The sequence below is a fragment of the Homo sapiens genome, chromosome 14 (assembly GCF_000001405.40).
Source record: "Homo sapiens chromosome 14, GRCh38.p14 Primary Assembly".
Classification (NCBI taxonomy): domain Eukaryota; kingdom Metazoa; phylum Chordata; class Mammalia; order Primates; family Hominidae; genus Homo; species Homo sapiens.
In genome coordinates this window covers 64,057,210-64,072,719 of record NC_000014.9, presented here as the reverse complement: position 1 = coordinate 64,072,719, position 15,510 = coordinate 64,057,210, and the positions used below count along the sequence as shown (strand labels likewise).

General features: G+C 40.4%; 1 protein-coding gene across 29 annotated transcripts in view, besides 1 other annotated feature; it reads right to left on the bottom strand.

Moving 5' to 3' along the window:
• Positions 1–15,510, bottom strand: part of SYNE2 (spectrin repeat containing nuclear envelope protein 2) — a 464,854-nt gene that overhangs the window by 153,730 nt on the left and 295,614 nt on the right. For all 29 annotated transcript variants that reach the window (XM_047431152.1, XM_011536576.3, XM_047431149.1 and 26 more), the window contains 3 exons: positions 9,825–9,969; positions 7,070–7,288; positions 1,810–2,075 (listed from right to left, as the gene is read on the bottom strand). In XM_047431152.1, coding sequence (XP_047287108.1) covers positions 1,810–2,075; positions 7,070–7,288; positions 9,825–9,969 — 630 coding nt within the window. The remainder of the gene's footprint in view (positions 1–1,809; positions 2,076–7,069; positions 7,289–9,824; positions 9,970–15,510) is intronic.
• Positions 11,854–12,449: an enhancer, noted in NCBI's record as "H3K27ac hESC enhancer chr14:64526989-64527584 (GRCh37/hg19 assembly coordinates)". NCBI's record gives its function as "activates a minimal SCP1, AML or CMV promoter by ChIP-STARR-seq in naive and primed H9 embryonic stem cells {active_cell/tissue: H9 hESC(naive and primed)}" and the evidence as "EXISTENCE:reporter gene assay evidence [ECO:0000049][PMID:30033119]".

Sequence of the window (15,510 nt, the reverse complement as noted above, 5' to 3'; positions counted from 1 at the left end):
AGACCACCCTGGGCAACATGGTGAAACCCCTCCTCTACTAAAAATACAAAGAATTAGCCGGGTGTGGTGGCACATGCGTGTAATCCCAGCTACTCAGGAGGCTGAGGCAGGAGAATCGCTTGAACTCAGGAAGCCGAGTTTGCAGTGAGCCGAGATCATGCTATTGTACTCCAGCCTAGGCGACAGAGCAAGACTCTGTCTCAAAAAAAAAAAAAAGGAGAAGTATAGGTAGCAACCTACTACTGATGATTGGCATCTGAAGTAGAGGTCCTCTTGTGGGATGGATTGAGCCCCCAGCCTGTGTGATCTGATGCTGTCTCCGGGTGGATAGTGTGAGAAATGAATTGGTGTCTGCTGGAGAACTGCCTGATGTGTGGGGAACCCCCATAACCAACATGGTGTCAGAAGTGCTTTGTTGCATGGTGTGTAAGGGTAGAGAGAAAAAACAAGTTTGCTTTTTCTTCAGAGCACCTCTAGCCATAAAACTACTATATTCTTTGACCCAGTGATTCTACTTCTCACTATCTTTCTCAATGAATTAGTCACAGATGAAAATATAGATTCTGGCATAAGAATATTCACTGCAGTGTTGTTATGAAAATTAAAAAAAAGTAATTTAAAGATTCCTTATTAGGGGCTTGGTTTAACACATTATGGCATATCTTCATGGTAGAATATTATACAGCTAGTTACATTTTTTATTTTTATTTTTTGAGATGGACGTTTCAGGCTGGAGTGCAATGGCATGATCTCAGCTCACTGCAACCTCTACCTCTTGGGTTCAAGTGATTCTCTTCCCTCAGCCTCCTGAGTAGCTGGGATTATAGGCGTGCGCCACCATGCCCGGCTAATTTTTTGTATTTTTAGTAGAGACGGGGTTTTACCATGTTGACCAGGCCAGTCTCGAACTCCTGACCTCAGGTGATCCATCCACCTTGGCCTCCCAAAGTGCTGGGATTACAGGCGTGAGCCACCATGCCCGGCCACAGCTAGTTACATTTTAAAAGAACATTTAATGGCATAGGAAGACAAACATGATTTGCTGGTAAATTACTCAGCAGAATACAAAACAGTACAAGTATTTTGATCTCTATTTATTTAAAAACAAAATCATAGTAAAAAAGGAGAAAAAATGATTGGCAGTGGTTATTGCTGAGTGGTGACATTAAGGTAGATTTTTATATTAATTTTTGTAATTTTCACATTTTCTGAATTTCCTTTTTTTTGAGACAGAGTCTCACTCTGTCACCCAGGCTGGAGTGCAGTGGCGCGATCTCGGCTCACTGCAAGCTCTGCCTTCTGGGTTCACGCCATTCTCCTGCCTCAGCCTCCCGAGTAGCTGGGACTACAAGCTCCTGCCACCACACCCGGCTGATTTTTTGTATTTTTAGTAGAGACGGGGTTTCACCACGTTAGCCAGGATGGTCTTGATCTCCTGACCTCGTGATCTGCCCGCCTCAGCCTCCCAAAGTGCTGGGATTACAGGAGTGAGCCACCGCGCTCGGCCTGAATTTCCTATAATGAATATGCATTACTAAACTAGAAAAAGGGCAAAAACAAACAAACAAACAAAAAACCCACAAATGATAAAAAAGGAAATTGGAAGGACATTCACCCTCATTAATACCAGGATGGAAAATGTGTGCTTAATTATAGTTACTAATCTGTTCCATCCCTTTTTATACCTATCAGTGTTGTCTCACCTCAATTCTATTGTATCATTTGCCATTATTCTATACTTTTAGATTTTCTAAATTTTGAGCCATAATTGTCAAGCACACGTCCTTAATAGTTTTTCATAAATCTTACTTGTTGCATCGTTCTTTCATAGAAGTAATTTCTTGAAATGCTGGAACAGTTTCCACAGCCCCTGAGCTTTCAGGAACATTCTGGATACTTCTGATGCGCTGAAGAAGTAGAGTCAGTAACAGCTGTTGCTTCTCCACGTTCTCTCCATATTGGCATAAACAGTCTAGCAGCTCAGAGAGTTCCTCTGTGGTGGCTGCCTCTTTTGTTTTGGAAATTTCAGGGAGTTCTTCCTGAAGATTATCTAAAATAATTGCCTCTCGTTCAATCTAATTCAAAAAACAAAAAGAACTAAAATAAGTAAAATATACAATTACATTTCAGGACCTGAAGTAGACATAATTTTTGTATGCTCTCTCTTCAAAGGGTTCCTAGTGCCATATCCTAGTCTGTTTTCCTATAGCTGGGAATATTAATCCTCTACTATCAGAATCCCATAATGCCCAGCTATTGCTCATGTAGATGTGTGACTGAAATGGAGTACTGCTGTGGTGGGCTGAAGGAAATGCTGTTGAATATCTTCATAAATAATGTATTTCTCCTTCAGATTTCAGATGGATAAAGCAACATTTCTCCTGAGATAAGCACATGAGCTCCACCAAACTGCTTTCACTAAGTATAAGAGGTTGGGCAACTATTGGATATGGAAAATTTTTCTGCTGGTCTCTTTTCTTTCACTTCCAATCCCTGTATGCTAAAAAAGTAAGGCCAGCAGGTTCTCATTACCCTGACACACAACAAAGGTAAAGCAGCCAGAATTACCAAACCAGTGAAGTATTTATCAATAGTGGTGTACACAGAACTCAGAAATACATAACCTATTACATCACATATCTAGAAACTGGGAGTTCCACCAGCCCTGAACTCAACTAAGATGTAGAAAAAAGTCTCAAAGGCCCCTGAATCAGGTCATTCTTACGCCTCCCCTCGAATCCCCTGGCCCACCCCTCGGCTGCAGTACTCATTTATCAAATCCTGCCTCAGTGATGGTTAACTCTCCTGCTCCACGTTCAAACTCATTCATGGATCTTGCAGTCATGACATTACAGGATATCACTCCAGTCATCTATGTTTATGATATCATGCTAACTGAAATGGTGAGGACCTGAATGTCCAGTCAGACATGCCAGAGGCTGAGAAACAAAGCCTGTGAAAATTCAGGAGCCCCAGTATCAGGGGTCTAGTGGCCTGGGGCATGCCAGGACTTCTCCTCTAAGATAAAGGTCAAGTTGTTCAATCTTACAACTCTACCACTAAAAAAGAGACACAGCACTGAACGGACCTTTTGGGGTCTAGGAGGCAGTATATGCTATCCTTGGGATTACTGCTCAGATGCATTTATCAGAATGCTGCCAATGTCGAGAGGGGCCTGGGGAAAAAGCACCGCAGCAGGGTTGGGCTGTGGTATAAGCTGCCCTGCTGTTTGGGCTGTATGACCCAGTTGGGTACCCAATAACTAGAATACACGGATGCAGATGTAGACTGGCCACTGTCCAAGAGACCTAGGTGTGCGCAATGGGTGCTTCTCATCACCTCAAACCTAAATTCAGTTGAATTAGAAGTCCTAGTTCTTTGCCAGACAGCTACACTTACACCAGGAAATGAGATAAGGGTTTCCATTGTATCATTTTCTGTCCCCCTGCTGGAAACTAGCATGCAAATAAAGAAATTGTTACATAGATGGGGGAATTGTACATCTAGGGTTTCCAATGTGCATCAGGGTTGAAAAAACTGTGTCTGTAATCCAGGATTTAATGGGGCACCTCTTGGTGCTTACACACCAGAAACTGGCAGATTTGACTTGATAATAACCAGAAATGGGCAGCTGTAGCAAGCACAATCCAGTAAGAGTAAAAAGAATAAAGGCTCAGACCTTTCCTGTTTCGGCTCCCCTCATCTACCACTCCTGTTCCCTGGGATCACTTTCCAAAATAAACTACCATTTGCAAGCCTCAGTCCCAAGCTCTGGTGTCCACTGTGAAGTTGGTAAGTGATTGAGAAGGGGGAATACAAGAGGGAGAACAATCTCTTTTTTTTTTTTTTTTTTTTTTTGAGACGGAGTCTCTCTCTGTCACCCAGGCTGGAGTGCAGTGGCATGATCTCGGCTCACTGTAACCTCCCACGCCCTAGGTTCAAGCAATCCTCTGCCTCAGCCTCCCGAGCAGCTGGGATTACAGGCACCTGCCACCATGCCTGGCTATTTTTTTTGTATTTTTAGTAGAGACAGGGTTTCACCATCTTGGCCAGGCTGATCTTGAACTCCTGACCTCGTGATCCACCTGTCTAGGCCACCCAAAGTGCTGGGATTACAGGCGTGAGCCACTGCTCCTGGCCACAATTTTTATTAGGACAATAATTTTACCCCAAAGCCAGGCAATTCTTCAACTTGGGAATGAATAAACAAACTGAATTCACCCACCCAAAGCAATACTACTCAGGAATAAAGAGAAATGAACTACTAATACAAGCAGCAGCAAGAATTTCAAGTGCATTATGCTTAGTGAAAAAAAGTAAACTCAAAAGGCCACAAACTGTAAGGAGTCCATGGATATGACATTCTGGAAATGGAAATACTATGAGAACAGAAACAGATTAATGGTTCCAGGGGCTGGAGGTTATGGAAGGCACTGACCACAAAGAGGAACGAGGGAAACTTCTAGGGTGACAGAATTGTCTTAAACCTTGATTTTGCTGGTGATCATGTGACCGTGTGCACTTGTCAGAACAACATATTTTACACTAAAAAGTGTGAAGACAGCCCTAGCATCAGTAAAATAGTTGCCAAAAAGCCTGTGCATTCACTTTTCCACCTAGAAGAGGCTTTGCAATACCTTGATGATTTTCCTTAGACATGGGATCCTAATCAAATTGGTTATAAAACTTTCAGGTTCACGGTCAATTGTAAAGTCCGGTCTAGAGAGGGAGAAGGACCCATAGTTGCATCATAAGCAAATCCAATGAAGGAGACCAAAAAACCCAGAACCAGCAGAAAAGAGACCCAACAAAGAAATGACTGTTGGTGCAAGTGGAAGAAGCCGGCCTCACATCTCCAATTATCTTTGACAATGTGACGTTCTTCTAGCACATTATGATCATTGAAGCATAAAATGATGATTCTGAATAACACAAGTGAATAGTTATAGTAAAGAGATTCTGTTTAAGAAAACAGGGAGGTAAAATTTTAGGGGGACACAAGTTCTATCAAAATTTAAATTTAGTTTTTAATTTGTAAACTTACAAACAGGCATTTAATTTTTAAAAAAGTCTGCTAATATAAACTTTATTTCATAAACACTGGATTATTATGTTACTATAGATGACAGGTTTAAAGCAGAAATTCACTTTGTCATATATAAAAGCACCAATCATGCTAACAGAAGCTTACATGTATGGGCTGTTAGATGATATACTTTTTATTGAATGGATAAAAGCTACACTAAAATCTTATATCAATTTGATGTATGTAAATATCATGTAAGTTGACAGATTAATGACTAAGCACCAGCGTCTAAGTTTGAATCCTCTTCTACCCCTTGTGAATTTGAGCAAGTTACTCAGTCTCACTGTGTCTCACTTTCCTCATCTACAAAGTAAGGATAATAAAAATATCCTCACAGAATTCTTGAATAGTGCTCTGAACTATCCTGTCACACAATAATTGCTCAATTTAGTAGTTGTTTTTATTATTGTTATTACAGGGAAGCATTTTTTTTTTGCTTGTGCTACTCTTTGAAAAATATTTTGTTAGCAGATTTTGTCAAATGCTTATGTGAATAATTAGAAAGTTCTATATGAATGGAGTCTGAATTAATAACACATAATTGTAAATGGGTATATAGCAATAATGTGATAAAATAAAAGGAGCAAAATCTTAGAATTAGCCCAGACCTGAATTTGAATAAGAGATGTCCCTCAACAAATATTTACTAAGTGCCCACTAAGCGCAGGGCCCTAGCCAGGTTCCAAGGTTACAGCAGTGAGCAGGACAGCCCCAGCCCCAGCCTACAGGGGTTTACAGCTTAATCAATCTCTACCTGGGGACCTTGTGCCACTACTCAATCTATCAGTGCTTCAGTTTCCCCATCGATAAAATGGTGATAAAATTTACTTCCCAGGGACAATGCAAAGATTCAGTGAGAACAGGTGTGAACTGCCTTCTCAGCACAGCATAGTAACTCAATAAATGGTACCACTATGGACAGGCAAGCACTGGTGCCAGCAGCCCCAACCAAAAGTGTAATTTACAAAGTTTATTTTAACATTTCAAGAGACTATTCACTAGTCAGGCCTCACCAGGACCACTGACATAAAATTCATTTTTAAGGATAATAGTTATAAGCAAGATAATACAATAGTGCTAAGCATTTCATCCTAAGATAATTTTACGTTGTGTTTTTGTTTGTTTGTTTTTGAGACAGTGTCTCACTCTGTTGCCCAGGCTGGAATGCTAGAATACAGTGGCATGATCATGGCTCACTGCAGTCTTGACCTCTCATCAAGAGATCCTCCCACCTCAGCCTCCCAAGAAGCTGGGACTACAGGCATGTGCCACCATGCCCAGATTTTTTTTTATTTTTTGTAGAGATGGGGTTCACTCCATTGCCTGGTCTGTTCTAGAACTCCTGGGCTCAAGCGATTCTCCTGTCTCAGCCTCCCAAAGTGCTGGGATTACATAGGTGAACCACTGCACCCGGCTATCTTTAACTTTCTAAATTAATTTTCTTTCTAAATATAGTTCATACCTAAATCCTGAACCAAGGTTAAATTAACATTTGTGATTGATATATATCATGCAGGTTTTGAGACTATTTTCAAAAAGAACATCATAACCTCATATATTTTTAGGTCCACATTTAACAATTACAGTTAATTTCCATAGTTGAAAATTATAGATAATTTCAAAATTATTTGGTGATTACACATATTACCTAATTCTAAACCTTTAGTATAATGTAGAGACAGTTATTTCTGAGAGGGGTTATTTTCACAATAAAGATTGTAAAACTCAAACCAGCTAGTAGTCACTTATTAATAAGAATTATCTGCTATCAATAAAGGCACTACTATAAAATAATCTGAATAAGTTCTTGCAGGTTATCTTAATAAGGCCTGACATCTATAAACATTTATGTATCATGTATAAGTGATGTGCACAAATGGTATAGGCTAAGGACTCGTTTTATAGAAAAACAAGGTGAAAGTAATAAAACAATTTAAATAACATGTTAGAAACTACATGGTTTGTTGAAAATGAAGCACTCACTTCTTCACTGACAAATTTCCATTCCTGCTTCAGTTCTTCGCACCACATCTCCCACTCTTTAGCAGCTTCCAGCAAACTCAGCCATTTCTCCCACAGAGCCGACACAATCTTGAGCAAACATATGCCATCATTTTCTGTGCACCTGAGTCTCAAGAGTCTAAGGATCTGTCGTAGTTTCATTAACTCTTCTTTGGTTGATATAAGATTTGACACCAAGGCCTTAAGAAAGAAAAGAAAAAAAATAAGAGGGACATACTATTATGGTTTTCCTGAAACTTACTAACTCTTTTAAATCCTGAACAATTAATTATTTCAATCTTCCATAAGTATTGCATGATCCACCTCTTATCCTTTTAGAAGTCAATATAGACCAGATGAGAATTATCTATGTATTATTGTATTCTGCATGAATTTGGGATTACAGGGACAAATAATGACCCATAAACCATTTTTTTCCAAGAAAGAACATACTTTCAAAAGCAAATATTTGCCAGACGCAGTGGCTCATGCCTGTGATCCCAGCACTTTGGGAGGCCAAGGTGGGTGGATCATGAGATCAGGAGATCGAGACCATCCTGGCCAACATGTTGAAACCCTATCTCTATTAAAAACACAAAATTTAGCTGGGCGTGGTGGCATGCGCCTGTAGTCCCAGCTACTCAGGAGGCTGAAGCAGGAGAATTGACTGAACCTGGGAGGCACAGGTTGCAGGGTTGCAGTGAGCTGAAATTGTGCCACTCACTGCACTCCAGCCTGGGCAACAGAGTGAGACTCCGTATAAAAAAAAAAAAAAAAAAGTCTATAAGTGGCTGGGCACAGTGGCTCATGCAGCACTTTGGGAGACTGAGGCAGGAGGATTGCTTGAGGCTAGGAATTCAAGACATAGCAAGGCAACATAGCAAGACCCTGTCTCTACAAAAAATTAAAAAATTAACCAGGCATGGTGGTGTATGCCTGTAGCCCCAGCTACTCAGCGGGCTGGGATGGGAGGATCCCTTGAGGCCAGGAGCTCAAGGCTGTGATAAGCCATGATTGCACCATTGTACTCCAGCCTGGGTGACAGAACAAGACCCTGTCTTATTTAAAAAAAAAAAAAAAAAAAAAAAAATCTAAAAGTACAACAGCCCTCATTATCTGGGTTTCTCCTTTCAAGGTTTCAGTTACTTGTGATTAACAACGGTCCAAAAATACTAAAAAATTCCAGAAGGAAAAAATGTGTAAGATTTATTTGTATAAAATGTATGTTTTATTTGTATATAAATATATAAGTGCTATTCTGACTAGTGTGATGAAATCTCAAGCCATCTCTCTCCATCCCACCTGGGATACGAATCTTCCCTTTGTCCAGCACATCATGCTGTATATGTTCCCCACCTACGCGTCATTTGGTAGCCTTCTTGGTGATCAGATCAACTGTTGTGGTATCAAATGCTTGTGCTCCAGATGAATAGTAGCCCAACGCTACCTCACCATGGCTATATCATTTCATTTCATCACTTCATTTCATTACCTCACTTCATTTCATCACCTCACTTCATTTCATCACCCAGGCATTGTATAGTCTCATGTCATTACAAGAAGGGTGAAAACAGTACAATGACATATTTTGAGAGAAAGAGACCACATTCACCCAACTTTTATTACAGCATATTGTTATAATTTCTCTGTTATTGTTGTTGACCTCTGACTGCACTTTAATTTATAAATTAAACTTTATCATAGGCGTGTACAGGAAAAAAATTATATACATAGAGTTCAGTGTTATTCACAGTCTCAAGCATCCACTGGGTGTCTTGGAACATATCCCCTGTGGATAAAGGGGGACTACTGTACATTTTGTTATTTTTAAGTCTCACATTTTACTAAGTAGTTCCTTTGCACAATACTTCCTATATCAACCACCAACACAATATTGAAAGGTTTTTCTTGGTTCGCTTTTGTTTTTGGGGAATGTTAACTACAGATGATTTAGAAAGTCCTCATCCAAATCCTAATAACATAATACCACAGATTCTAACAGATAAAAATAAGCAAAAGCTCAAATTGCTTTGTAACAGTCTAAGAAGTAACCAGAATTCAGAGCTTATGACAGTTGCAGTAAGCGATCAGTGGACAACAAGGCTCTGTCACTGATCCAGCAGTATCCCTCAAAGTCACATGAGAGGTGATGCTTTAGAAAAGCCATCAGTGAGGACAGGATGCTATTGGGGGATGACTGTCTGTGAACCTGATTAATTAAATCTCTCAGTACCACTGCTTCATTTCCTTCCTTCTGGCTTTTTAAGCTTCAATATATTACATAAGGCCAGGCGCAGTGGCTCGCGCCTATAATCCCAGCACTTTGAAAGGCCGAGGCTGGAGGATGGCTTGAAGTCAGGAGTTCAAGAGCAGCCTGGTCAACATTGTGAAACCCCGTCTCTACTAAAAATACAAAAATCAGCTGGGCATGGTGGCGGGCACTGTAATCCCAGCTACTCAGGAGGCCGAGGCAGGAGAATCAAATCACTTGAAGCCGGGAGGTAGAAGCTGCAGTGAGCCAAGACTGCATGACTGCACTCCAGCCTGGGCAAGACTGTGTCTCAAATATATATAAAACATTACTCTCTGGCTTTCGATTTGAGGAATATTCATGGATATTTAACTCACTGTGAAGATTTCTACGCGTCTTAACAGGACCACATTCTCTGCTGCCTCTGCCAGTTTGTTCTGCAATTTTTTGCACACAGACTTACTGGCTAATTGCCAATACTATTACCTTGCTCTGTTCCAAGCGCTCTAAAGCTTCTCTGTAAGACAGTGGCAACGAGGACATGGACTGTCCAAGAACTGTCTCCATTTTGCTGAGGTTAGTGTAAATATCCTCTTCCATTTTTCTATAGCATTTGTAATTCTCAAGATACCTAGTGAGTCACAGTTAGAAAAAAAGTGGTATTAAATTTTATTTAACACAATAAATTCAAAATTTCCCAGAATAAATATTCCACACTTAATTTTTAAGAAAAGATATGACAACTTTCGTTTTTGCTAGGCAATGCATTTTAAAATGTTTTCCAAGAAGTTTTTATTCCCAAAGGGACCTGCATATGGGTTTAAATGCAAACTTGAAAAGGAAGCAAGGGCCGTCCTCTAAAATGAAGATTTTTTTTTTTTAAAGTTCACTTCAGTAAAATGAAAACTGCATTCTCAAACACACTGATGAGCTGTAAATTGGTACAATTCTTGTGGAAAACCACTTAGTCTTAAAACTATTCCCATCTTTGACCCATTAATGCAGCTTCTGCAATTTACCTTAAGAACTGTATCCTAAACATATAGAGCTTATCCTAAATCTTTTGCACAGTAAAACATCTTTACTCACTAGACTATTAATTAAAACATCACACATTGGAATACCCTTATCTAACAAAGGTATGATTAAGAAATTAAAACAATTCATCGTATACAATATTATAGAGTAATTACATTACTTTTAGAAAGTATTTGTTACAATCAAGAAAAGAACTGTTATAAAATTTTAAAATAAAGCTGGATATTTGATATTTTATATATAGCATATATATTTTAAAACACTAAAATTATGCATACAAAAACAGACACAGCCTAAATCCCCCATTGAATGTAACTAAAAACTCTATATCAAATTATTCTTAAAAAACAACTCTTAAAACGCATGAATAAATTGACAAGGAATTAGGGAGTCAAACTGTAAAATGGAAATATACAGAAATAGGCAAAGTTGTAGGACCAGTTTTTTGCCTTGAGGGCACTTGAGTTTCAATTTTCTTTGATTCCTACTGAAAGGTGGGGGACAGACCATAAAGCTGGGAGCCAATCCCAGGATGGGTGTCTAATAGAAAACTCCCTCTGCAAGAATATTTGTAACACATATAACTATAAAGGACCACTCTCTAAAATATAGAATTCCTAGAAATCAGTAAGAAAAAACCACCAATAAAATTGGGTTAAGGCTTAAATAAGCATTTTACAGAAGAGAAAACATGAATGACCAATAAGCATTCAAAAAAAGAGATCAAACTAATTAGCAGTAACAGAAGTGCAAATTAAAACCACGATGAAATACCTCTTCTTACTCATCAGATTGGCAAAAATTGAGTCTCACAATATCAAATGTTGGCAAGGATATGGGACAATTGGAATACTTATATGCTGCTGGTTTGAGTGGAAATTGGCAAAATCATTTGGCATTAAAAATGTAAGATGTACATAACCTTTTGTTCTGAATGATCACACTCCTAGATATTTACCCAAGGGAAGTTATTACACTTAAAAATTTTCCCAAGTAGCACTGTTTCTGAATGCAAAAACTGGGAGCAATCCAAATGTCCATCAATAGCTAAGTAAATAAATTTTACTAAGAACATGAATAAACCTCAGAGTCATAATGATGGGTTTGAAAAAATGAAGTGAGGTATGCAGGAGGAGCAAGATGGCTGAATAGAAGCCTCTACTGATCATCCTCCCCACAGGAACACCGAATTTGACACCTATCTCCATACAAAAGCAACTTCATAAAAACCAAAAATTACGAGAGCAATCACAGTAACTAGTTTTTAGTTCATATCTCTGAAAGAGGCATGGAAGAGGATAAAAAAGGCAGTCTTGAATTGCTGATGCCACTCCTCACCCATCCCCCAGCAGCAGCAGCATGGCAGGGAGAAAGAATCCGTGCACGTGGGGGAGGGAAAGCGCAGCAACTGGGGAGCTTTGCATTGGAATGCAGTGCTGCCAACATAGGACAAAACTCAGCCAGCACCCATGAAGCATTTAGACTAGCCCTAGCCAGAGGGCAACTGCCCATCCCAGTGGTTGAAACTAGAATTGCAGCAAGCCTCGCCACCTTGGGCTAAAGTACTCTGGGGTTCTAAATAAACTTGAAAGGTTGTCGAGACCACAGAGACTGCAACTCCTAGGTAAGTCCTAGTGCTGTGCTACAATCAGAGCCAGTGGACTTGTTGGGGCATGTGACCAAGTGAGACACCAGCCAAGGCAGCTAAGGGAGTCCTTGGAATTACCCCTCCTCCAACCTCATGAACCACAGCTCACAGTTCCAAAAGAGACCCCTTCTTTCTACTTGAGGAGAGGGGAGGGAAGAGTAAAGAGGACTTTGCCTTGCAACTTGGATACCAGCTAAGTAGGACTGGGTACTGGGCAGAGTCATGAGGCCCCCATTCCAGGCCCTAGCTCCTAGGTGACATTTCCAGACACACCCTGGGCCAGAAGGGAACCCACTTCCTCGAAGGGAAGGACCCAGCCCTGGCAGGATTCATTGCCTGCTGACTAAAGAGCCCTAGGGCCCTGAATAATCAACAGTGGCAACCAGGTAGTACACACTGTGGGCCTTGGGTGAGACTGAGACATGCTGGCTTCAGGTGGGACTCAGCACATTCACAGCTGTGGTGGCTACCAGGAGAGGCCATTTCTGCTTCAGAAAGCAGAGGAAAGAGTAAAGGAGACTGTCTTGAGCTTAGGTACCAGCTAAGCCACAGTGGGGAAGAGTACTAAGTGAGCTCTTGGCGTCTAGGTATTAGCTCTTGTACAGTATCTCTGGACCCACCCTGGGCCAGAGGAGCGAGCCCACTGTCCTGAATGGTGAGTCTCAGGCCTGGCAGCATTCACCACAAGCCGACTGAAGACCCCTTGAGCCTTTAGTGAACATGAGTAGTACCCTGGCAGTACTTTCTGTGGGCCTGTAGTGGTGGTGGACATGGGGAAAGGGGAGACAAGATGTGAAGGACTCTGTCTTGTGGTTTGGGTGCCAGCTCAGCCACAGTAGCACACAGCACCAGGTAGATTCCTAAGGTTTCCAACTCTAGGCAATGGCTCCCAGACAGCATATCTGAACTCACCTAGGTGCGGGGCAACTCGCCACCCTTAAGGGAAGGACACAAGCCTGGCTGGCTTCATCTCCTGTTGATTGTAGAGCCCAAGGGCCTTGAGCAAACGTAGGCAATAGCCAGATACTGTTTACAGAGGGCCTTGGGCAAGGCCCAGTGCTGATGCTGTGCTGACTTCAGGTCTGATTCAGTACACTCTCTGTAGTGGTTGCCACAAGGGTGCTTGTGTCACCCCTACCCCAGCTCTAGGCAGCTCAACACAGAGATTCTGTTTGTTTGGGAGAAAGTGAGGGAAAACAACAAGAGTCTCTGCCTCTTAATCCAGAGAATTACTCCAGATCTTATACAAGACCACCAAGGTGGTAGCTCTATGACTCTGCAAAAACCACAACATTATTAGGCTTGGGGTATCCTGTAAGCAGATATGACTACCGCGACCAAAAACTTAGATCGCAACACTCAAGTCTCTTAGAATACCTGGAAAGCCTGCCCAAGAAGGACAGGTACAAGCAATCCCAGATTGTGACTTAAATAAATACCTGACACTTCAATGCCCAGACACTGACAAACATCCACAAGCATCAAGACCATCCATGAAAACATGACTTCACCAAACAAACTAAATAAGTCACCAGGAACCAATTTCAGAGAGAGAAATATGTGACCTTTCAGACAGAGAATTCAAAATAGCTGTTTTGAGGAAAATCAAAGAAATTCAAGATAACAGAGAAGGAATTAAAAATCCTATCAGATACGTTTAACAACGTGATTGAAATAATTAGAAAGAATCAAGTAGAAATGCTGGGGTTGAAAACTGCAATGGACATACTGAGGAATGCATCAGAGTCTCTTACCAGCAGAATTGATCAAGCAGAAGAAAGAATTACTAAGCTTGAAGACAAGCAATTTGAAAATACACAGTCAGAGGAGATAAAAGAAAAAAGAATAGAAAAAAATAAAGCATGCCTACAAAATCTAGAAAATAGCCTCAAAAAGGTAAATCTAAGAGTTATTAGGCTGGATGTGGTGGCTCACACTTGTAATCCCAACACTTTGGGTGGCAGAGGAGGGCGGATTACTTGAGGTCAGGAATTCGAGACCAGCCTGGCCGACATGGGGAAACCCTGTCTCTACTAAAAAATACAAAATATTAGCCAGTGTGGTGGCTTGTGCCTGTAATCTCAGTTACCTGGGAGGCTGAGGCAAGAGAATTGCTTGAACCTGGGAGGTTGCAGTGAGCAAGACTGTGCCACTGCACTCCAGCTTGGGTGACAGAGTGAGATTCTGTCTCAAAAAAGAAAAAAAGAGTTATTGGCCTTAAAGAGGAGGTAGAGGGAGAGATAATGGGTCGAAAGTTTACTCAAAGAGTTTACTCAAAGAGATCATAACAGAGAACTTCCCAAACCTATAGAAAGATACCAATAAACGGTTCCGGGAAAACTGGATTATCTATCTATATCTTCATCCAGAAAAATGAAACTAGACCCCCTATCTCTCATCATATACAAAACTCAAATCAAAATGGATTAAAGATTTAAATCTAAGACCTATGAAACTACTAAAAGAAAACATTGGGGAAAACTCTCTAGGACACCAGACTGGGCAAAGATTTCTTTGGTAATAATACCCCATAGGCACAGACAACCAAAGTAAAAATTTACAAATGGGATAGCATCAAGTTAAAAAGCTTTTGCACAGCAAAGGAAATAATCAACAAAGTGAAGAGACAACCCACAGAATGAGAGAAAATATTTGCAAGCTACCCATCTGACAAGGGATTAATAACCAGAATGTATAGGGAGCTCAAATAACTCTATAGGAAAAAAATTAATAATCCAATTAAAAATGGGCAAAAGATCTGAATAGACATTTCTCAAAAGAAGACATACAAATGGCAAACAGATATGAAGAGGTGTTCAGCATCACTGACCATCAGAGAAATGCAAATCAAAACTACAATGAGACATCATCTCATCCAGTTAAAATGGCTTTTAGCCAAAAGACAGGCAATAATAAATGCTGGCAAGGATGTGGAGAAAACAGCATCTTCATATGCTGTTGGTGGTAATGCAAATTAGTACAACCACTATGGAGAACTGTTTGGAGGGTCCTCAAAAAAACTAAAAATAGAGCTACCATATGATCCCGGAATCCCACTGCTGTGCATATACCCAAAAGAAATCAGTATATTGAAGAGATAGCTGCACTCCCATGTTTATTGAAGTATTATTCACAATAGTCAAGATTTGGAAGCAAGCCAAGTGTCCATCAACAGATGAGTGGATGAAGAAAATGTGGTATATACACACAAAGGAGTATTATTTAGCCATTAAAAAAAAATGAAATCCTGTCATTTGCAACAACATAAATGGAACTGGAGGTCATTATGTTAAGTGAAATAAGCCAGGCACAGAAAGACAAACATCACATATTCCCACTTATTGGTGGGATCTAATAATCAAAACAATTGAATTCATGAACATAGAGAGTAGTAGGATGGTTACCAGAGACTGGGAAGAGTAGTGGGGGAGGTGGAAGGGAGATGGTAAATGGGTACAAAATAATAGAAAGAATGAATAAGATCTA